We start from the raw sequence: 23,397 nt of genomic DNA, 5'->3' as shown, positions 1-23,397 counted from the left end.
GCAGACAGTCTGCAAGGTGATAAGAATGGGTTATGAATTGGGTATGAAGGGTATGGGGGAGAGTACGGGATTTCAGAGAAGTAGTGAAGGGTTGATTACATCAGCGACTATACTAGGGTATTGACAGGTTGGACAAATTGTAGCTGGAGTAAAGGCTTTTGTTATCATGTCTATGACACTAACTCAAAACAGCTGAAAACCAGTTGCTTCAGCTTCTTTGCATTTATTTATTAAGTTTTGGACTAAGACTTCAACTGCTAAAAATCCAAGGACTTTTGGGAGAGATTTATAATTATTTTGAAGTTAAACCGTTACATAATTTTTTTTGATGTTGCACAGTTATTTTCTGTAGTTTTTCTGGAATTGCAGTCATTAAGTCATTTGAATTACTGTTCCAGTTTCAAAATTTATAATCTCACAATCCAGAGATGACTTTTCATAACATTTTAGGTATTATTTTCTTTTGGGATTTTTCTCTAATTCTTTTTTTCTCATTTAAATGATAAAATACATCTCTTAATATCATTAAATATTATTTGTTTTTTTTTGGTTTGTCTGTTTTTTTGAGACAGTCTCGCTCTGTCACCCAGGCTAGAGCGCAGTAGCCCGATCTCGGCTCACTGCAACCTCTGCCTTCCATGTTCAAGTGATTCTGCTGCCTCAGCCTCCTGAGTAGTTGGGACTACAGGTGCACGCCACCACACCTGGCTAATTTTTGTGTTTTTAGTAGAGAGACGGGGTTTCTCCGTGTTGGCCAGGTTGGTCTCATACTCCTGACCTCAAGTGATCTGCCCGTCTCGGCCTCCCAAAATGTTGAGCTTACAGGTGTGAGCCACTGTGCCTGGCCCTAAGTATTATTTTAAACATGAGTATTCTGTATGATTTCCACTATCTGTATGTATTTTCCCATTTATGTTATTATTAGCGATTCATAAATACTAGGAACATCTTTCTACATAGGATTTTTCTGCAAGATATTTTTGAAGCAAATATGCTACTTGTTGCTACATAAGACCTCTGTAGTAATTATGAATTGTTTTATATTTTTAGATTGTAAGTATTTGTGCAGGTAGGTAAGTTGGTAGAGGGAGAATGCTCTTAACATTCATACTTTTCTTTCTTAGGAATTCTTTGTTGCTTTGCGTCTTGTGGCATGTGCCCAGAATGGATTGGAAGTTTCACTAAGTAGTTTGAACCTGGCTGTTCCTCCACCAAGATTTGTAAGAAATGCTTTTAGATTTAAATTGTATTTAATTTTTAAAAAGTGACACCACGTTATTTGAAAATTAAAAGTAATATATTAAAAGGAATTCTCCCTTTGGCCCTTTCACTCAGCTACTTGGCTTTTTTCCCCCTACTGGCTCCTGCTGTTTTTAGTTAATTTCTTGTGTATCCTTCCAGAGTGATTATATATGTATATGTGAGAAACTATAGGCTGGGTGAGGTTGCTCACGCCTGTAATCCCAACACTTTGGGAGGCAGAAGTGGGAGGATCATTTGAACCCAGGAGTTCAAGACTGGCTGGGAAACAAAGCGAGACCCCCATCTCTACAAAAAAATCTAAAATTTAGCCGAGTGTGTTGGTGTGCACGTCTGGTCCCAGCTACTTGGGAGGCTGAGATGGGAGGATCATTTGAGCCTGGGAGCTCAAGGCTGCAATGAGCCGTGATCACACCGTTGCTCTCCAGCTTGGTTGATGGTTTAAGACCCTGTCTTAAAAAAATATATATATATAAATACTTATTTTCTTATTTTACTTTAATTGTAGCATGCTATATATTAACGGTCCCCAACCTTTTTGGCACCAGGGACCGGTTTCATGGAAGACAATTTTTCCATGGACCTGGGAGGGATGGATGGTTTCAGAACGAAACTGTTCCACATCATCAGGCATTAGATTCTTATAAGTAGCATGCAACCTAGATCCCTCACATGCGCAGTTCATGATAGGGTTCGTGCTCCCATGAGAATCTAATGCCACCGCTGATCTGGCAAAAGTTGGAGCTCAGGCCATAATGCTTGCCTGCCAGCTGCTCACCTCCTGCTATACAGCTCAGTTCCTAACAGGCCATGGATGGGTACCAGTTTGTGGCCCAGGGATTGGGGACTCCTGCTATGCACATAATTCTATACCTTTTATAAGTAGCTTATTAAGTTTTAGAGGTATTTATATATCATTACATAGAAGCTTCCACTTTGTTTTTTATAGCTGTGTAGTATTTCTTTGCTTATGTTTATGATAATTAACTTTCTATTGATAGGCTTTTAGTTTATTTTGAATCTTTCATTATTAAAAAAATGCTGCAATGAATAATAAACTTGGACATATGTTATTTTGCATGTGCAGGAATGTATTTATATGTGTTAATTTCCAAAAGTAGAAATGCTGTTCAAAAGTTTTTGCCTTTGTAATTTCTATGTATTTTGTCAACTTGCTTTCCATAGTGGTTGTACTAGTTCACCCTCCCTCCAGCAATTGTTTGAGTGCCTGTTTCTGTACACTTTGGCTAGCATACTTTGGTTAAACTTTTAGATCTTTGCGGTTTGATAGGTGACAGTATGTAATTTTAAATTTATCCTTTTGGTTTTATGGAGTGAGGTTGAATAGCTTTTCTTGTGCTAATAAGAATAGCTTTCTTATAAGCTTTTCTTATGTTTACATTGCCTTTATGTGAATGTCTGTTTATAGCTTTTGCCCATTTTTCTTGGTTGTTGCTCTTTTACTTATTGAATTCTAGGGCCTCTTTAATTATTAGGACATTAACTCTTTGTCTGTATGAGTTGCAAGTCTTTTTTTCCTATTTTGTCATTTGTCTTATTTTTTTTGAAGAGACAGAATCTTGCTATGTTGCCAAGGCTAGCCTTGAATTCCTGGGCACAAGTGATACTTCTGCCTTAGCCTCCCAAATAGCTGGGACAATTGGCATGTACTACTGAGCCTGGCTTATTATTGTCTTTTGTGTAAATAAATTGTCAGGTTAAATTTTTTTTAATTTTTTACATTTAAGTTAGTATTGATCTAGGATGTGAGTACAGATTTTATTTTTATTTATTTATTTATTTTTTTTTGAGAGGGAGTTTCGCTCTTGTCAACCAGGCTGGAGTGTAGTGGTGCAATCTCAGCTCTCTGCAACCTCCACCCCCTAGGTTCAAGTGATTCTCCTGCCTTAGCCTCCTGAGTAGCTGGGATTACAGGCACCCACCACCACACCCGGCTAAATTTTTTTTTTGGTGGTAGAGATGGTTTTTCACCATGTTGGCCAGGCTGGTCTCGAACTCCTGACCTCAGGTGATCTGCCCACCTTGACCTCCCAAAGTTCTGGGATTACAGACGTGAGCCACCACACCTAGCCTAGATTCAACTTTATATTTTTTCAAGATGGCTACCCTACAGAAAGTATAGTCAATACAGTTTATTAAATAATCCATCCTTCACTTCCTGTCTCTTCATTCCCTTTGAAATGCCATCTCAGTTGTGTGCTAAATTCTCATATGTATTTTGATTGCTTACTCGATTTTTTTTGTTCTTACCTATTGATCTATTTATCCATACCATATGCTGATGTTACATTGTTTTAATTATCATATTTGGTGACATGTTTTTTAAATCTAGTATGCTAGTCCTCCCCACCTCACTCCTTTTTTTCCCCAGATATTTTATGGCTCCTCTTGTTTTTTGTTTTTTTAAATTTTAAGAGATGGCCTCATTCTGTTTCCCAGGTTGGAATACAGTGCTGCGATCATAGCTCACTGTCACCTTGAACTGGGCTCAAGTGATCCTCCCCAGTAACTAGTTGCTTGTTTTTAAACTCAACATTTTAGAAGTTTTTGGTCTGCATACTAATAATTTAATTTCTTAAGTTTAGAGAATTTCTGCACTTTTATGTTTAGGCATGTAGTCAGAAGGTTAATTTAGGGATTTGTTGCCTACGTGCATTACAGTCATGCATTGCTTAACATGGTGAAATCCCATCTCAACTAAAAATACAAAAATTAGCTGGGTGTGGTGGTGCATTCCTGTAATCCCAGCTACTCGGAGGCTGAGGCAGGAGAATCGCTTGAACCCAGGAGATGGAGGTTGCAGTGAGCCGAAATCATGCCACTGCACTCCAGCCTGGGCGACAGAGCAAGACTCCATCTCAAAAACAAAATAAAACAAAAACCAGAAAAGGTACAGTAAAAATATGGTATTATAATCACTTTGTTTCATTGTTATTTAGATGGTCTAGTAAATGTAAAATAGTGTCCTGTGTGCATTGAGATCCAGCATTTTGTGTGAACATATTTAAATCCAAAAACCATTTTTTCTTCATTGCTTCTTGATGTGAGAATTTCAACTCTTGTTGTGCTTTACTTTCTTCTATAGCATGATACCAGTAGTCCTTTGCTAATCAGTGGAACCTCTGCAGCTGAGCTCCCATGGGCTGTAAAAGTAAGTAAACTTTGTAACTATTCTCTCACCCCTTCATTGCTTCCTATCTACTCTCTCTCTACCTCTGAAATATATTGCTATCTTCATTAGACTTTCATACATGTTTAGGGAAAGGTAGGGGAGAAGCTGTTACTGGTGTTTCTGAGGGATCTTTCGGCTCTGTCAGTTGTTTTGTGACAGTATCGGTCTACTTGTATATCTGTTATAATGTAAAGAAAAATGGTGATGTCATAATCTTGTATTAACTAAAATATTTGATTAAAAGATAGTTTACCCCACTGGTGTTATCTCTTACTTGAAAATTCTGGTTAACTATGTATTTTCTAGATGACTCTAAAACAAACAATTCTTTATGAAATCTTTTTAGAAATAGGTATTTTGCATTATAGTTTTTCAGAGCCACATCATATCGTACTATAAAACTTGTAATTTAAAAATGCTTAGACTATAGCAGATCAAATGAGCTTTGATAAATGTGTACAGTTTTTTTGAAAACCATTTTTATTTGTATGTCTTTGTATGCTGTGGACTGGGCACTAAGTTTTAAAAGTGTGGGAATATGGCCTTGACTGGGCAAATAATGAACAATAGTTTTTCATGTTACACTAATAACTTTTAAAAATTTAGGAGATATCTTGTTATTGACAAGAAAAAGAAATATTGCTTTGGGAAAAATGGAGAAATCTTGATGTTTATTCCTTTAGTAATTATTTTATTTTTAAAAATTTATTTGTGGCTCATGCCTGTAATCCCAGCACTTTGGGAGGGTGAGGCGGGCAGATCATGAGGTCAGGAGTTCGAGACCAGCCTGGCCAACATAGTGAAACCCCGTGTCTACTAAAAGTACAAGAAAATTAGCTGGGTGTGGTGGCAGGCGCCTATAATCCCAGCTACTCGGGAGGCTGAGGCAGGAGAATCGCTTGAACCCGGGAGGTGGAGGCTACAGTGAGCTGAGATTGTGCCACTGCACTCCAGCCTGGGCGACAGTGCAAGACTCCGTCTCAAAAAAAAAAAAAAATTTTATTTATTTGAACTGCACCTCATACCATCTTTAGAGAGTCATGGAATGTCACTAATTAGCTGTGTGTTCTTATAAAAGTTACTTTTTTGCTCTGGGTCTATTTAAGTGAGAGGGTTGGACTAGATGTTCTTCAAAGCCCTTCTACCTCTGAAATATTTTGATTCTAACCCAATAGTTGGAAAATAAAGATGGTGTTCCAGCTACAAAAAGAATGGGCAACACCAGACTCTTGGGTAAAGTCACTTTGAAATTATTATTTCCTATGTATTTTTTTCTTGCGTATCTTTACAATGAATATTATATTTTGATGAAAGTGAAAAATGTTTTTTAAATGATAGTTTAAAAACATATGTAGTCTATTCTTTAAGGACTTGATTTTTATAACTGCAGTTAAATCCTTTTCTCTTATTATTTAACTTGTGATTTTGTTTTTTATTGTAGCCTGAAGATAAGGCCAAATATGATGCAATATTTGATAGTTTAAGCCCAGTGAATGGATTTCTGTCTGGTGATAAAGTGAAACCAGTGTTGCTCAACTCTAAGTTACCTGTGGATATCCTTGGAAGAGTAAGATATTATTTACTCCGAAATGTAATTTTTATGTATTTTAATTTTATATCTATTATGCCAGGAGCATGTATAACTCTTTGTTAAAAATATACAAATCTTATTTTAAAGTTGTATCATTATAGGATTTTTTGTTTTCTGACTTAATGTATAAAATTATTGCCAGCATATTTCTGTATTTGGTTATTCCCTGTAAAAATGAGTGGTTGAAATGAATTACATATGTAAGCCCCTTAAGTAGGTCCTTTTTTAGTTTGTGCTGTACACTCTTGACCTCCTATTTGCTTGAGTTAATTTCTAGAGACCATCAGTATTTTATGTCTGCCACTTACTCTGTGGCTGTATCATGGTGTCTTGTTGTAAGGAATAGTTTTATCTCTGAAATCATAAATTCTTCTCTCTAACTTGTACTTCCTGTCTTTATAGAGCTCTTTTCCAGAAACTAGCAAGACTAATTCTTTGACTGGTTTTACTAAGACCTTTAAATCTGACTTCTTGGCTGGGCATGGTGGCTCACACCTATAATCCCAGCACTTTCGGAGGCTGAGGCGGGTGGATCACGAGGTCAGGAGTTCGAGACCAGCCTGGCCAATATGGTGAAACCCCATCTCTACTAAAAATACAAAAATTAGCCGGGCGTGGTGGTGCGCAGTCTGTGGTCCCAGCTACTCAGGAGGCTGAGGCAGAAGAATCGCGTGAACCCAGGAGGCAGTGGTTGCAGTGAGCCGAGATCGCACCACTACACTCCAGCCTGGGCGACAAGCAAGACTGTCTTAGAAAAAAAAAAAAAAAAAAAAAAAAATCTGACTTTTTTACTTTTCCTCTTTTTTTCAATTTTTTTACTGTGATAAATATGCATATCATGAAATTTAACATCTTAACCAATTTTAAGTGTACAATTCAGTGGTATTAACTACATTTACATTATTATGCAACTATCCCCAATATCCATCGCCATGAATTCTTTTCCTCCTGTAAAAGTAAAACTTTATTCCCTGTCTTTTGGTCTACAGCTTCATATCTATCCTTAGCCCCCTTTGCCATGTTATTTTTCTATCTCTCCTGCCTGATGGAAAAAACATGAAGTAAATTATCTGCCTTCTCTGTGGTGCATGTGGACTACTGAGCAGGTGTAGTAAGATTGCTGTCACTTTAAATTTATCATCACCAGCTTCAGCTGGGCTTCTCCGTACTGCCAGTCACTCTTGTGCTGTTTCCATAGTGATTTCTCCATAATCCTCTTCATATTTCAAATCTTAACTACTCTCTTTAAACCTCTTGCCCTTTCTTTTTTTTTTTTTCTTTTTTTGAGATGGATTTTAGCATTTGTTACCCAGGCTGGAGTGCAATGGCGCAATCTTGGCTCACCACAACCTCTGCCTCCCGGGTTCAAGCAATTCTCCTGCCTCAGTCTCCTGAGTGGCTGGGATTACAGGCGTGTGCCACCACGCCCAGCTGATTTTTATATTTTTAGTAGAGATGGGGTTTCTCCATGTTGTTCAGGCTGGTCTTGAACTCCTGACCTCAGGTGATCCACCTGCTTCAGCCTCCCAAAGTGTTGAGATTACAGCGTGAGCCACCAGCACCCGGCTGCCCTTTCTTTAATTACCTGCTTCAGCAGATTACATAGGGTCAAATCCTGGCTGCACCACTTCTTAGCTGTGTGACCTTGGGCAAGTCATTAGAAAGCCATGTCTCAGTTTTCTAATCTTTAAAAGGGACATAATTCCCAGCTTATAGAATTGTAGTGATTGAATGTGATAATGAATGTTAAGTCCTGCTTATTACCATGATTGCTACATACTCTTTGAATGCTAGCTGCTATGATGATGACAACCACCATACCACCATATTATTACTACTACTGGATCAATGTTATATAGATTTTAGATGCTCAATAAATATTTATTTAAATGCCATTTTTTAGTATTGTTTCCCACTAATTATTTCTCCCCTGTGTGATCAGTGTGAAATTTCTAAACTATAAATACACTGTTGTTATTTTATTACTTAAACCTAACTTTTTAGTAGCTTTCCATTGCACTTAGAATAAAGCCCAAACTCCTTTCAAGGCAATTATAACCAGACACTTGCTTATCTCCATTTTTAACTCTCAACAGTACACTTTTTTTTTTTTTTTTTTTTTTTTTTAAGAAACAGTGTCTAGCTCCGTTGCCCAGGCTGGAGTGCAGTGGCATATCATAGTGCACTGCAGCCTTGATCTCCTAGGCTTAAGGGATCCTCCTACCTCAGCCTCCTGAGTAGCTTGGCCTACAGGTGGATGCCACCATGCCCAGCTAATTTTTTATTTTTATCTTTTGTAGAGATGGGATCTCGTTATGTTTCCTAGGCTGTCTCAAACTCCTGGGCTGAAGTGATCCTCCTGCCTTGGCCTCTCAAAGTGCTGGGAGGCCATATGGGCATGAGCCACCATTCCTAGCTCATAAACTTTCTTTTCTTGCCCTCGAGTAGAACATGAACTGAAAGAACATTAATCTTTTTTCAATTATTCTCTTTTTAAGGTTTGGGAGTTGAGTGATATTGACCATGATGGAATGCTTGACAGAGATGAGTTTGCAGTTGTAAGTAATCTAATGTTCTTAACATCTTCATTATCTTAATGATTTTCTCATGTGCAAATTTCCTCTTTTAGTTCATCCTTAGAGGAAAACTATATTCTCATCAGATTATTGGGTGAACTTTTTTTTTTTTTCTTTTTGAGACAGAGTCTCACTCTGTCACCCAGGCTGGAGTGCAGTGGCACAATCTTGGCTCACCACAACCTCTACCTCCCAGGTTCAAGTAATTCTCGTGCCTCAGCCTCCCAAGTATCTGGGATTGCAGGCACATGCCACCACGCCCAGCTAATTTTGGTATCTTTTGAAGAGATGGGGTTTTGCCGTGTTGGCTAGGCTGGTCTTGAACTCCTGACCTCAAGTGATCTGCCCACCTCAGCCTCCCAAAGTGCTGGGATTACAGGCATGAACCACTGTGCCCGGCTGGTTGAACATTCTTATATAGAATTTATATTTATTTTCTAAACAAATGGATAACAGAAAATGTGTGTTCTGCCATCTTCATTTTATTTGGCTTTAAGGTACATAGGAACGTATACTTTGTATAATTACTGTAAAGATAGTATCTTTTGTATCACAACCTGACCAGGTATCTTAGTACCTGCTTCTAATATGGAATAATTTTGCTTCAAATGTATCTCCCAAATTTCACATTTCCTTTTATTTCATTTAAAGGAAACATGAATAACACTTGAGTTTCACTTCATTTATGAAGGCAGAAAAGTTTTGACATTTTATCTGAAGACATGTCATCTTAGTAATTGAATAGTTAATTCCAAATATGGTTGTATTCACCTCTTCCTTAAAGGTTTGATAAAACTTTGCTGTGAATTCATCAGTGGTAAATTTCTAATTTCCCTTTTACTCTCAGATTTTCTCTTTTTATTTTGGTAAGGAATTACTAATTTCTTTTACTTTCAAACTTGTTGCTACAAATTTGTGATACTCTCTTTCGTGGTTGTTCTCTTTACTCACTCCAAGTCTTGGGAGTACTCCCACTTGTATTTTTACTTAATCTGATTTTGTCTAGTTTATTGATCTGTTAGAAGAACCATCTTTTGAATTTACTTATCCTTTCTATTATATTTTGACTTTTAATTTAATGATGTTTAACATTTAATTCCCTGTTACATTTTCTTATTCTTTTTATTTTAAATTTCTCGGAGATGAGTATTATGTTTCTTCAGTTCTCTTTATCTTTAATATTGAAATCATTTAAAGGATATATTCACCCTTGAATACAGGTTTAGTGGGATTCCATAGATATTGGTACAAAGTTTTCTCCTTTATACAGCTTTTTAGATAATTTTTAGTTTTATTATCTGGTTAGGAATATGTTTCCTAATTTTAAAGTGGTTAAGTTTGGTTGGTTTTTGTTACTTTGATGTATACTTTCAACCTGATTGGATTATAACTAGAAAAATATAGTCTATAAAATGTCTAATTAAAAAAATTAGTTAAGGCTTTCTTTGTTGCCAAGTTTATGACCTGCTTTTACATATATTCCATGGATATGGCAGTATTTCTGTTTGGAGGATATTAGAGTTTTATAAATTCATTATATCAAATTTATTTTATTTTATTTTATTATTTTTATTTTTGAGACAGAGTCTTGCTCTGTTGCCCAGTATGGAGTGCAGTGGCGCAATCTTGGCTCACTGCAACCACCGCCTCCCAAGTTCGACGATTCTCCCGCCTCAGCCTCACAAGTAGCTGGGATTACAGAAGTGCACCACCACATCTGGCTAACTTTTGTATTTTTAGTAGAGACAGGGTTTCACCATGTTGGCCAGGCTGCTCTTGAACTCCTGACCTCAGGTGATCCTCCCGCCTCAGCCTCCCAAAGTGCTGGGATTACAGGCGTGAGCCACTGCACCCAGCCTCAAATGTATTGATTATTTAGTTTCTCTTTGTCCTTATTTTTCTTTTGTTTTTGGCCCTTCCTTAGATTTTCCTCATTTTCCACAAGAGCCAGATGAAATAGGCAGAATACATATTACCACATTTTAAAAATGCAGAAAGAGAAACTTAAAGTGACTTGAATTCTTGTTCACAGGTACCTAATCTTTTTAATTTTAATTTGAATAATAGTTGGGAAATGGTAAAGGATACTCCCTCGCGGTGGTGACAAAAGTTATCTCAGTCGCATTTCAGGGGTTGAGCCATTGTTTGTGGGATGCTTTTGGGAATGGGGCCGTGCTGAAGAGATTTCGGTGATGATATACTTTGAAACATCGTCAAACCCTACACATAAACTTCTCATAAATGGTTTTTGTGGTAAGAATATTGGTGCAAAATCTTTGCATGGTACGATGTAATGAGGGATTTTTTTTCTCATAAAGACAAATTTTTTTTTTTTTTAGACGGAGTCTCACTCTGTCACTCAGGCTGGAGTGCAGTGGCGGGATCTCAGCTCACTGCAGCCTCGGCCTCCTGGATTCAAGTTATTCTTCCACCTCAGCCTCCTGAGGAGCTGGGATTACAGGCATGCACCACCACCCCCGGCTAATTTTTATATTTTTAGTAGAGACAGCGTTTCGCCGTGTTTGCCAGACTGGTCTCGAGCTCCTGATAATAGGTGATCCACTCGCCTCGGCCTCCCAAAGTGCCGGGATTACAGGCATGAGCCACCTCTTCAGGCCCAAGACAAAAATATAGTTAGAGTAGATGGGGAATAGTAGTGTCATCATTTGATAAACAGTAGTGCATGCTAAGGTAAATGAATAAACACAATTTATCTTATATGCCTGGAGCCTATTCCCAGGTAACTGGCCTTTTTTTTTTTTAATAAAAAGCTTTATTAAAAATAATTTTTGAATAATAAATACATTTGTAGGAAATTACTACCTTGAATTTTGTTTTAAATAGTAGACACCCCTTTATCTTCTCCTAGATTTACTTGTTAACCATTTTGTCACATTTGCTTTCTCCCTGTATCCATATTCTTCAGAATTTTTTCCTAGTTTTAAACTCTAGCTTGTGTGATTTTAATACTGCTTCTCCTGTTCCCTCTTTTTTTGAATTACCTGATATTTCTTATGTTTGTTGTGTATGTCTCTTGAAAATGGCAGATTTCTGTATTTTAATGCTTTACCTAATTGGATAGTTTTTAAGATAATAGCACTTATATTGATTTGATTTTCCCTTCTTTACCGATTTATTTTACATTTTTATTTTCTCTGTTTCTTACTGTTGCTTATTATCAACTTGTGATTCATTCCCTTACCCCGCCTCCCAGTTAATGTGGAAATTTTGTTATAATGTCTTGTTTCATTAATATAGTTAATACAGGTTGAGCATCCCTAATCTGAAAATCCAAAACTTGAAATGCTTCAAAATCTGAAACTTTTGAGTACTGACATGACCCACAAAGTGGAAAATTCCACTCCTGGTCTCATGTGATAAGTTACAGTCAAAACTTTTGTTTCATGCACAAAATTATTAAAAAGATTGTATAAAATTATCTTAGATTATGTGTATAAAGTTTATATGAAACATAAATGAATTTCATGTTTAGACTTGGGTCCCATCCCCAAGATAGGATAATATTCCAGAATCTGGAAAAAAAAAAAAAAAAAAAAAAAAAGATAATATTCCAAAATCCGAAAAAATCCAAAACACTTCTGGTCCCAAGCATTTTGGGTAGGGGATTCGCACCTTGTGCCCCTTTTCCTGTACTAGTACTTATTTCTCCTATGTTGAAAACAAGATTTTCAACCATTACTCTAGCAAAATGAGTCCTTTAGATTATTTTTATTTATTTTCTTCCCCATCATGTTCTTTTTTTTAGTTTTAATTTTTATTTTTTTTGAGATGGAGTCTCACTTTGTTGCCCAGGCTGGAGTGCAGTGGCGCGATCTCAGCTCACTGCAAGCTCCGCCTCCTGGGTTCACGCCATTCTCCTGCCTCAGCCTCCTGAGTAGCTGGGACTACAGGCGCCCGCCACCACGCCTGGCTAATTTTTTTTGTATTTTTAGTAGAGACGGGGTTTCACTGTGTTTGCCAGGATGGTCTTGATCTCCTGACCTCGTGATCTGCCCGCCTCGGCCTCCAAAAGTGCTGGGATTACAGGCTTGAGCCACTGTGCCTGGCCCCCCCTCATGTTCTAATTCCAGAAGACCTTAGAACATTTTTTGTGACTCAAATTCTAGATTTTGCTCAGTTAATTTATTTCTTTTGGTTTTGGTATTTTTCTTCCAGTTTTGTTCAATATTAATAACTAGTATTCTTTTGGTTAGAATTTGTCTGATAAATCTTTCTTTATCCTTTTACTTTAATAAATAGAGCAACATAATCTGTACTCTTTTTAAAAATTATAATTACTGCAAGATAGCCTGTGTAACTACAGCTGCAAGTCATTGATTTGTTTTTATTTACAAGCATCAATATTTTACAAAACTGAATTTTGAGAGCTGATATCATTCTTCCTTGAAAATTGAAGTAATTTAAAAAATACTTTTGCAGTAGTGACGTAGCTAAGATCTGAACATTTTAAATTATCCTCCTAAATAATAAAATATAATGTTCTTATTTATATGATCAGTCCTTTTGGCCTATGGCAGTTTATACTCTGCCAGGATTTTGGTTTGTTGAAGTATAATACAAGTTTAGGTCTTATTTTACTAGATAATCAAAACTGACTTGAACATAGGAATCTTTTTGTTCAAGACTTACCTTTAAAATTCTTGCCCATTTCCCCTTGGGTTAAATGCTTTTTGTTTGTTTGTTTTAAAGACCCCGTGTCTGCTTTGTGTTTATTTTTTTGAATGGGAAAAAATGAAAATGAAGTTAAAGAGAGGACTCTAACTTGGGGTGTTGAATTTCAGTATAGATTTTTTAAAAGAGTAACTTAGTAATTAACCAAAACTTGCTTGAACTTGAGTCTTTATGTTTAGACTTACTTTTAAAATTCTTAACCCGTTTCTTTTATTTTATAGCATAAATGAGATTTTTGGTTGGTTTATCTTTTTAGTTAGAATAAATGAAGTTAAAGATTCTAACCTGTATAACTTCTGTTGCCATGTGAACCTTTGATGAATGGCCCTTGTTTCTTTTCAAATGTAAATGCTTGTTCATATTCTCAGAAGCCCAGTAGTTTAATTAAAAATCCAGAATCTAGAATATCTTTTAGTTTTTTGGTTTTTTTTTTTTAAAAGTAAATTTGTAAAAGTTAGGCCTTGGCATGACCATGGGTATTCTGGCCACAACTAAAATGACTTCAGAGAGTTTTGTGTACGTGGAATGTATAATGTATATATGTATGTACATACACAAAAATAGATTTAAAAAATCATATCTACCCCCTCAAATCTGGATTTTTAAAATATCTGTGATTGTGTATCAGTATTCTGTTTACTCATGGATGAATTATCTGACTAGATTGTAAGGATATTGGAAATATATTTCCGAGTTTAACTTCTGGCCCATTTGGCTTTGTAGAAAGTCTCTGATGGAGCATTAAGGCGACATTTTGTAAAAGGAGCAAATTTTTCTTTTTCTTTCTTTTCTTTTTTTTTTGAGAGTCTGTCACCCAGGCTGGAGTATGGTAGTGTGATTTCGGCTCACCGCAACCTCCACCTCCCAGGTTCAATCTGTTCTTGTGCCTCAGCCTCCTGAGTAGCTGGGATTACAGGTGCCCGCCACCACGCCTGGCTAATTTTTGTATTTTTTGTAGAGATGGGGTTTCGCCGTGTTGGCCAGGCTGGTCTCAAACTCCTGATCTCAGGTAATCCACCTGCCTTAGCCTCCCAAAGTGCTGGGATTACAGGTGTGAGTCACCGTGCCCAAAGGGCCAAATTTTTCTGTTATGATTTGAAAACTAGAAATGTATCTAAAATTATGCTACTGCCAGTGAACCAAGGGAAGTGACTGATAATTATGTTAAAGTTTATTCTCTTTGTGGGGTAAGTTCTGCAAGTGTATAGTCCTATTCTGTGAAATAGTTCTTTGTTTTATTAGGGCTGAAACTACTGCTTTTTATTTTAAAGAAAAGGCCCGTAAATCTAGGAATCTAGTATTTGGTGAATGAGCCTATGCTCATGATTTTTGTAGATTTAGAGTTTGACAAGATCCTGTAATTTAGCTTCTTTAAGCACAGCAGTTCCTGGCTTACAACCCAGGCTAACCTGAGCCTTCTAGAGTCATGCTCTTTTTTTTTTTTTTCCTAATGAACTTTAAATTTTGGAGTGATTTTAGATTTATAGAAAAGTTGCAGAGAGCACAGTTTTCCATTCCCCTTCGCTGTTTTCCCTTTTTACCATATTACATTACCATGGTACATCTGTCAAAACTAAAAAACCAACATTGGTGCATTATTAACTCCAGACTTTATTTGGGTTTCGCCAGTTTTTCCTTTCTGTCACAGGATCCAATCTAGGGTATCACGTTGCATTTAGTTGTCATGTTTTCAGTCTCTCTGGTATATGAGTTTGTCAGTCTTGCCTTGCTTTTTATGACCTTGACATTTTTGAAGAATACTGGCTAGATATCCCACAGAATGTCTCCCAACTTAGGTTTGTCTGATGCTATTCTCGTGACTAGACTGGACAAATGAGTTTTTGCAAAGAATAACACGGAGGCGTAATGCTTTTGTCATCACATTATATTGGGGGTACATGATATCCATGTGACATCACTATTGATGTTAACCTTCACTTATTTAAGATAAGTGTTTGCCAGATTTCACCACTGTAAAGTTACTTTTTCCCTTTTCCTACTCTATTCTCTGGAAGTATAGACTCATGCCCTTTTTACTTTGCTGTTTGTCTGCATATCTATCTATTGGTTTTTACATTCTTACTAAGCCTTAAATTTTTCTATCAGGTAAGTTCTTAGACTGAAAGTGGCTTAAGCTTTTGTCAGTAATATTTGTTTGGGTCTTCATTATGTGAAGAGTTTTTGGCACTTAGAGATGTATAGAGGAGCTGTTTTTGTGTGTATTAGTGTGTATCACGTTGTATTAAAATTAACTGTTTACATATTTCCTCCTCCTATTGGGTCGTAAAACTGAGCACGATCTTTTCCCTTTTTTTTTTTTTTTTTTTTTTTGAAACAAAGTCTCACTCTGTCGCCCAGACTGGAGTGCAGTAGTGAGATCTTGACTCACTGCAGCCTCCACCTGCTAGGTTCAAACAATTCTCCTGCCTCAGCCTCCAGAGTAGCTGGGTTTATAGGCACCTGCCACCACGCCCAGCTAATTTTTGTATTTTTAGTAGAGACAGGGTTTCACCAAAGTCTTGGGCTTTGGCCAAGAATTAAAAACCCTCCAGGTGATTCTCATGGTGACTAAAATTTGAGAAATACTGCCTAAAAGCATGGAAAATGAAAAAATATCAGAGAAAGTGGACAGCTGTTAGTAACTGATTGCAACAGTAAAATTAAATCCCCTCTTTCCCTCCTGTCTCAGGAGTTTGATACTTTTATTATTCTTATTAATAAAATTTTTTATACTTTTACTTTGAAATAAAAAGACATTCTAAATGCTTCTTCCTTAAGTGTCTCTTTCTGTGTAAATGCACTTGCTAGTATGTTTCAGTTTGACAACTAGTTACTAACCAGATTTTTTTTGGTGTGTGTGTGAATGCATTTGATTTAATTGCTTTTGTTTCAGTGGCATACTTTTAATAGGAATAAGTACAATATAATAAGAAAACAAAATCACAACCCAGCAGTATTAAAAGTATTCTGTTCACTTTTGCTCTTTTATTTGGAGGTATAATTTTTGGCTTTAGTTTTGCCAGGGAAACTATTTTCAAGGCAACATGAAATTAATAATATATATTTTTAACTTTCATAAAAATGTGTTGTCTATTGGCAGCAGATGGCTAACGTTGCTTTTTCGCTTCTAGTGTCCACTTTTCCAGGAAATGACTCCCATCTGCAGCAAGAGAAGTGCTGACTGTTAATGTGTACACTAGGCACTTCTCTTAGCTCAGTGCCATTCTGACAATTTCACAGTACATATATTGTGAATTTGGTTGGAAGTGTATGTTAGTCAGATTGTTTTCTTTCTGGAGTTTCAGGCTTTTGGAAATAAAAAGTTTGTGTGTTTCTAAAACTGAAATTGAATTCTTCTAGGTTGGCTAGTGAAAAAGGAGAGGAGAATTCTTGGTTAAGTGTGGTTCCTGGACAAACAGCATCAGCATCATTCGGGAACTTGTTAAAAATGCAAATTCTCAGGCCCAACCTTGCTGGTTAGAAAATTCTGAGTGCAGGGGCCAGAAATCTGTGCTTTATCATGCTGTCCAGGTAATTCTGATGCCTGCTAAAATTTGGGTACCAATGGGTTAAGGTTTAGTTTTATCGCTTGTAAAGGACAGCGTGGTATTGTAAGATTACATATGTGCTGCTAATAAAGCTGATCAAATTTGGAAAAAACAAGAGCTTTGTAGCCAGAAGATGTTGGTTTGAACCCCACTGTATCACTTCTTAAAAATATTATATTGGGCAAGTTACTTAGCATCTTAGCTTCAGTGTGTTCATTTGTAAAATGAGATTGGTAATCCTGGAAATCAGTGATGAATGTTGTTGCATTGAGTGCTCAATAAATAAATTGAGGGGTTGGGTGTGGTGGCTTACTTGATCCCAGAAGTTTGATACCAACCTGAGCAACGTAGTGAGACCCCCATCTCTGCAAAACATAAAAAAATTAGCCAGGCATGGTGACGTACGCATGTAGTCACAGCTACTTGGGAAGCTGAGGTGAGAGACTCACTTGAGCCTGGGAGGTTGAGGCTGCAGCAAGCTGTGTTCTCGCCACTGCATTCCAGCCTGGGCAACAGAGTGAGCCTTTGTCAATAAATTATTAAATAAAATAAACAAATTAAATAAATATATAAATATATGTGAAAGCCCCACAAAACTTAATATATGATTATATGCAAATTTTCTCTGGAAGAAAAAATTTAACAAGAGACTGGGCTCAGTGGCTCACACCTGTAATCCCAGCATTTTGGGAGGCTGGGGTGGGTGGATCGCTTGAGCTCAGAAGTTGGAGACCAACCAGCCTGGGCAACATGGCTAATCCTCATCTCTTTAAAAAAAAAAAAATTAGCTGGGTTTGGTGGCGTTTACCTGTAGACCCAGCTACTTGGGAGACTGAGGTGGGAGGAAGGCTTGAGCCCAGGAGACGGAGGTTGTAGTGAGCCAAGATTGCGTCACTGTGCTGGGCAAAAAACAAACCAACCAAAAAAAAAGAAATAAAAATTTAAGAAACATGCAAGCTTTCTTTTCGTGGTTGCTGGACTCTTTCTAGAGGTTCCAAGTTAGTTTGAGTGATTTCATATGCTAAAAGATAGTTATGGAAAACTTTCATGCTCTGAAAGTGTTGAAGGTACCTTGAATGCTTTAAAATGAAGAGAATATATTCTGGGACAGTCTGTATGCAAATTTTTCCCATTTTGTGCAAGTGCTTTATGTATTAAAAATACTTGTCATGGTTCAAGAATCAATATAAGAAGATATACAGTGAAAAAAATCTCATTTCCACCCCTGCTCTCAATTGCTCCATTTATCCCTATTCTATGCCTAATTTTCTTAATTTCTTATTTATCTTAGAATTTCTTTTTTTTTCTTTTCTTTCTTTCTTTCTTTTTTTTTTTTTTTTTTGAGATGGAGTCTCTCTCTGTTTCCCAGGCTGGAGTGCAGTGGCACAATCTCAGGTCATTGCAGTCTCCACCTCCCAAGGTCAATCAATTCTCCTGCCCCAGCCTCCCAAGTAGCTGGGATTACAGGCATGCGCCACCACGCCTGGCTAATTTTTTTGTATTTTTAGTAGAGATGGAGTTTTACCATGTTGGCCAGGCTGGTTTCGAACTCCTGACCTCAGGTGATCCACCCACCTCAGCCTCCCAAAGTGCTAGGATTACAGGCGTGAGCCACCACGCCCAGCCTATCTTAGAATTTCTTAATGCAAATATAAACAAATATAACTAATTATTTCCTCCTTACCACAAAAGATAACCCACTAAACACACTGTTCAACACTATACTTTTTCATAGTTAACAGTTTATCTTGGATACCTTTTCACTATGAGAGCTCCATGATTCTTTTTTTCCTGGTTAGCATTATTCAAGGCTATCCACAACAAACTGCATCCAATTTAAGTATATAATTTGATGAGTTTTGGCAATTATATGCCTGAAGGCACCACCACAGTTAAGACACACAATGTTCTTTGTGATTTTTTTAATGCTTTATAGTATTTCATTATATGGATATACCATTTTTAAAAATAATTTTTTTACCTTAACTTCCCAGTGTAGAGTATACCATAATTTTTTAAACCAGGTTTTGTAGATGGGCATTTGGGTGCTGATACAAACGGTGCTGCAATTAATCTTTTTCATACAGCATTTCATATGGATAGATTCCCAGATGTGGGATTGCAGAGCCGAAGGGGAAACACATTTGCAATTTGGTAGATGTTGCCAGTTTGCCCTTCATAGGGGTGGTACCAATTTGAGCATGTTAGGGGAAGAAAAATAATTTTTCCTATACCCTTTTAAGTTCTTGGCTGAGAACCCTGTAACAAAAGATAAGAGAAAAACAGAAGTTTATTAACATGTATATTTCATATATACATGGAAGAAACTCAGGAAAGGAGTAACTGTCAAATAGGTGGCTTACAACTCAGGTTTGCTCTTGCTCCTGCTCTTGCCATGTGACACGTCTGCACCCCCTTTGCCTTCTGCCATGATTGGATGCTCCCTGAGGCCTCATGAGAGGCAGATGCTGGAGCCATCTTGGTACACCCTGCAGAACTGTGAGCCAGTTAAGCCTGTTTTCTTTATAAATTACCCAGCCTTAGGTATTTATTTATAGCAATACAAAAACGGACTAAAATACAGCCCCCCCCAGTGTGGCCTTTCCATCCTAGGAGCTGCCCAGGAGTGCCCTGGCTCCTGCAGGGTAGCAGTTGGGAGCCTTATGTCCCACGTTGTGCCCAATCCTTCACCACAGCTAGCTGAAGCCCAAAAATACCAGAACACATCCTCTCCAAATTCTGAGCTATTAGGAATACCTCCTTGGCCATCTCTTGAGTGATCCAGTAAGAAAGAGAAGAAGAGCAGCATCTGACATCCAGCCACGGGCCAGGCACTCACAGCGAGGCCATGTAATTTTCCTACTGAATCTTCAGTGGAGCCTCCCTTATGCCTTTTCCACACCCTGGAATCAAGCTGCCCTGCACTTGGAGTTTTTTGCAACCATGGCTTCCTCCTGGACTTGTTCCTGTGGTCCCACCCAGAAGCCATTCAATGCACAGGAGGACAATTTCCCGTACCCCAAGATTGCACCCTCAGCCAGTCAGCAGCAAGCACCCATTGCCTAGCCACCCCCACCCCTTCCCCAAACTGTCTGAAAAACCCTAGCCCCCAAATTCTTGGGGAGATTGATTTGAGTAATAACTCTGTCTTCCGTGTGGTGTGGCCAGTTTTGCATCAATTAAACTCTTCCTTTACTGCAAAAGAAACTTAGCCTAATATAGCATCTTTAACAAAGAACAATGAATTTTTTTAACTCTTATTTTAGGTTCAGGGGTACATGTACAGGTTTGTTATATAGGTAAATTGCATGTCACGGGGTTTGGTGTGCAGATTATTTTGTCATTCATTTAATAAATGATAGGTAGTTTTTTGAACCTCTTCTTCCCTCCACCCTCACATTGGCCCCATGTCTGTTGTTTCCTTCTTTGTGACCCCATTTACTCCATGTTTAGCTCCCACTTAGAAGCAAGAACATATGGTATTTGTTTTTCTGTTCCTGTGTTAGTTTGCTTAGGATAATGGCCTCCAGCTGTATCCATTTTGCTGCAAAGGACATGATCTTGTTGTTTTTTGTGGCTGTGTAGTATTCCATGGTGTATATGTACCACATTTTTTTAATCCAGTCTACCATTGATGGGCATTTAGGTTGATTCCATGTCTTTGCTATTGTGAATAGTGCTGTGATGAACATATGTGTGCATATGTCTTTATGATAAACAATTTATATTCCTTTGGGTATATACCCAGTAATAGGATTGCTGAGTCATTGATAATTCTGCTTTGAGTTCTTTGAGAAATCACCAGACTTTTCTACAATGGCTGAACTACTTTACATTCCCACCAGCAGCATTAAGTTTGTTATGTAATTCTTCTGGCGACACCTCTAGGCTGATAAGGGTCTGAATTCATTTTGGGCAGGAACTGTTATCCTTCCTTGTAGAGAGGGCAAGAGGGATACCTTTGTAAATTTATATCCTGCTTTTAGGCATATAGAAGGAGGGCAGAGAGCTTTTATTTATTTATTTATTTTTTTGATGCTACTACTTCTCAGTTGCTTTCAGTTCAAAATAATCCTTATGCCAAAGTGGAATGTTTTGGGGTAGCATGCTACCGCTCAGCTCCCACCAGCAGTGTAAAAATTTCCCCACAGTTTAGCTAACAAAGTATATTATGAAACTTTGAGTTTTTGCCAATTAGGTAGAAAATGGTATTTCAGTATAGTTTTAACTTACAGTTTTCATCTGAGATTGGGCATTTTTTTTATGTTAAAGAATGGACCATTTAAGGGATTTGCTTGTCTGTAAAATATCTCTTCAAACTCTTTTTCCATTTTTCTATTGGACTTTTTTTTCTGTTAATTTTTAGGAGCTCTATATATTAGGGAGAGTACTTCTTTCTTTGCATATGTTGTCTTCTCAAATTGTTGTTTGCCTTTGACATTGCAAGAACTTTAGTTGAAGGGTACGTCTCTAAATTTTTACTAAGGATATCTTCCTAAAAATTTCTTAGTTTTTATTTCTTTCTTTTTCTCCCTCCTTTCATCCCTCCCTCATTTTCCTCTTCTTTCCCTCCCAGCCCAATTTCTTAAAAAAGGATTTGAGAGCCTGACGATGATTTATCATTGAACAATAATCAATTCAGTGGGTGGATGTTAAGTGCTTTTAATATATATGACCCTGGTTCATTTATTTTGAAGGCCATGTTTTTGGTATACTGTGCACTGGAGAAAGAACCTGTGCCAATGTCCTTGCCTCCAGCCTTGGTGCCACCATCTAAGAGAAAAACGGTCAGTATATCAGGCTCTGTGCGGTTGATCCCCTCTTCAGCATCAGCCAAGGAATCTTACCACTCCTTACCATCTGTAGGCATTTTACCTACCAAAGCACCATTAAGACAGGTATAGATTTATCAGTGTTAAAGGATTTTTTTTTAACAAAGTACATGGCATTTAACAGTTTACTATTTGACAAAGATAGAGCAATTAAAAGGATAAAAATTTTAGAGCACCATCTCGTTGAACCTGCATAATGTGATACTCCAGAGAAGACAGATATTCCTTCTACATTAGGCCTTGGGTCATATGGATGTTTTATTGGTTTTATTTTGATCTCCCTGGAATTAAAGTTAGAAATGGAAGATGCTCCATGCTAACATGGCATGTTTGCCCTGGCATAATTAATAGTTGTTTTTATTTTTGTTTAATACCTAGTTAACTCTTGATTCTTTGGGATCAAATTATTGAATTCTGGGTTGTCCAAGGCTTTTTTTTTTCTGCCCCCAGCCTGCCTCTTGTCAGATTGAGTAAAGGAAGATAATGACAGGATATGCAAATCAGCCAGTTTGGCTATGGTTAACACTGCTGGGTCAAACTATAAAAAATAAAGATTGAGAATTATCTGAGTATTTTGTTTATACAGACTTTCAGTTACCTATATTAATGTGGGCATTAGTCAAGAGTTAACTATGTTTGAATTTACTCATTTCTTAAAAAAAAGTAAAAATGTGCACCTATGGATAAGTCCTAACTGACCTGTATTTTCTTCTGTTATTTTCTCTTCCCCACAGCATTTTGATTGAGATGTCATATGGAAGTGATACATTGTTGCTCTGAGTTAGTAGGGTAGAATTGTTCAGAATTTGTGATGGATATTGTAATGGATTGAAAGAGTGACACTTCAAAGTTTGTTTCATTTTGGCAGAAATACTGTTTTTTTTCCTCCCTGTAGTGGGTTGTATCCCCTGCAGAAAAAGCTAAATATGATGAAATCTTCCTGAAAACTGATAAAGATATGGACGGATTTGTGTCTGGATTGGAGGTCCGTGAAATATTCTTGAAAACAGGTTTACCTTCTACCTTACTAGCCCATATATGGTAAGACTTTATTTGAATTGATTTTTTAAAAATATGGTTTTGTATCAATTCCAGTTTCTGCATTTTGATTTTTAGTCATTTGTAAATAGGACAGTTTTTGTTTCAGAATTTTTTATAGAGAAAATCAGAATCTGAAGAATTCTTCTGGCTAATGGACAAAAGCTTGAGAATGGGTTACCTGAAGCTTTATAAGATTGACAGCATCCGCTGGGCATGGTGGCTCACGCCTGTAATCCCAGCACTTTGGGAGGCCGAGGTGGGTGGATCACCTGAGGTCGGGAGTTTGAGACCAGCTTGGCCAACATGGTGAAAAGCTGTCTCTACTAAAAACACAAAAAATTAGCCAGACATGGTGGTGTGCGCCTGTAGTTCCAGCTACTCGGGAGGGTGAGGCAGGAGAATTGCTTGAACCTGGGAGGTGGAGGTTGCAGTGAGCTGAGATCACGCCATTGCACTCCAGCCTGGGCAACAAGAATGAAACTCCATCTCAAAAAAAAAAAAAAAAAGAATGACAGTGTCAGTTAATTGTTATTAGAATGTTAAAATCCAGCTTCTGTTTATATCAATTAAACTTAAAATTTTCAGAGAGAATCCAGATATCTGAAATTTAAACAATGTAAAAAACAGTATCTTCAAGGCATACCTGCATAATTTTATAGTGTAT

The 23,397-nt window shown here is 37.3% G+C and overlaps 1 protein-coding gene across 7 annotated transcripts in view; it reads left to right on the top strand.

Annotated features, from left to right (window-relative positions):
• EPS15 (epidermal growth factor receptor pathway substrate 15) overlaps window positions 1-23,397 on the top strand; it is a 165,004-nt gene that overhangs the window by 49,574 nt on the left and 92,033 nt on the right. For 2 of the 7 annotated variants that reach the window (XM_017000617.3, NM_001981.3), the window contains exons 5-10: window positions 1,125-1,220; window positions 4,367-4,432; window positions 5,895-6,020; window positions 8,543-8,602; window positions 21,558-21,647; window positions 22,588-22,733. In XM_017000617.3, the coding sequence (XP_016856106.1) occupies window positions 1,125-1,220; window positions 4,367-4,432; window positions 5,895-6,020; window positions 8,543-8,602; window positions 21,558-21,647; window positions 22,588-22,733 (584 nt within the window). Of the gene's footprint in view, window positions 1-1,124; window positions 1,221-4,366; window positions 4,433-5,894; window positions 6,021-8,542; window positions 8,603-10,592; window positions 10,653-21,557; window positions 21,759-22,587; window positions 22,734-23,397 lie in introns of those variants that run through there. The other 5 variants (XM_017000616.3, NM_001410797.1, XM_017000618.3 and 2 more) reach the window with 3 other exon arrangements.

Source organism: Homo sapiens, chromosome 1 (assembly GCF_000001405.40).
Source record: "Homo sapiens chromosome 1, GRCh38.p14 Primary Assembly".
Lineage (NCBI taxonomy): Eukaryota > Metazoa > Chordata > Mammalia > Primates > Hominidae > Homo > Homo sapiens.
This window is presented reverse-complemented; position numbering and strand designations above follow the sequence as displayed.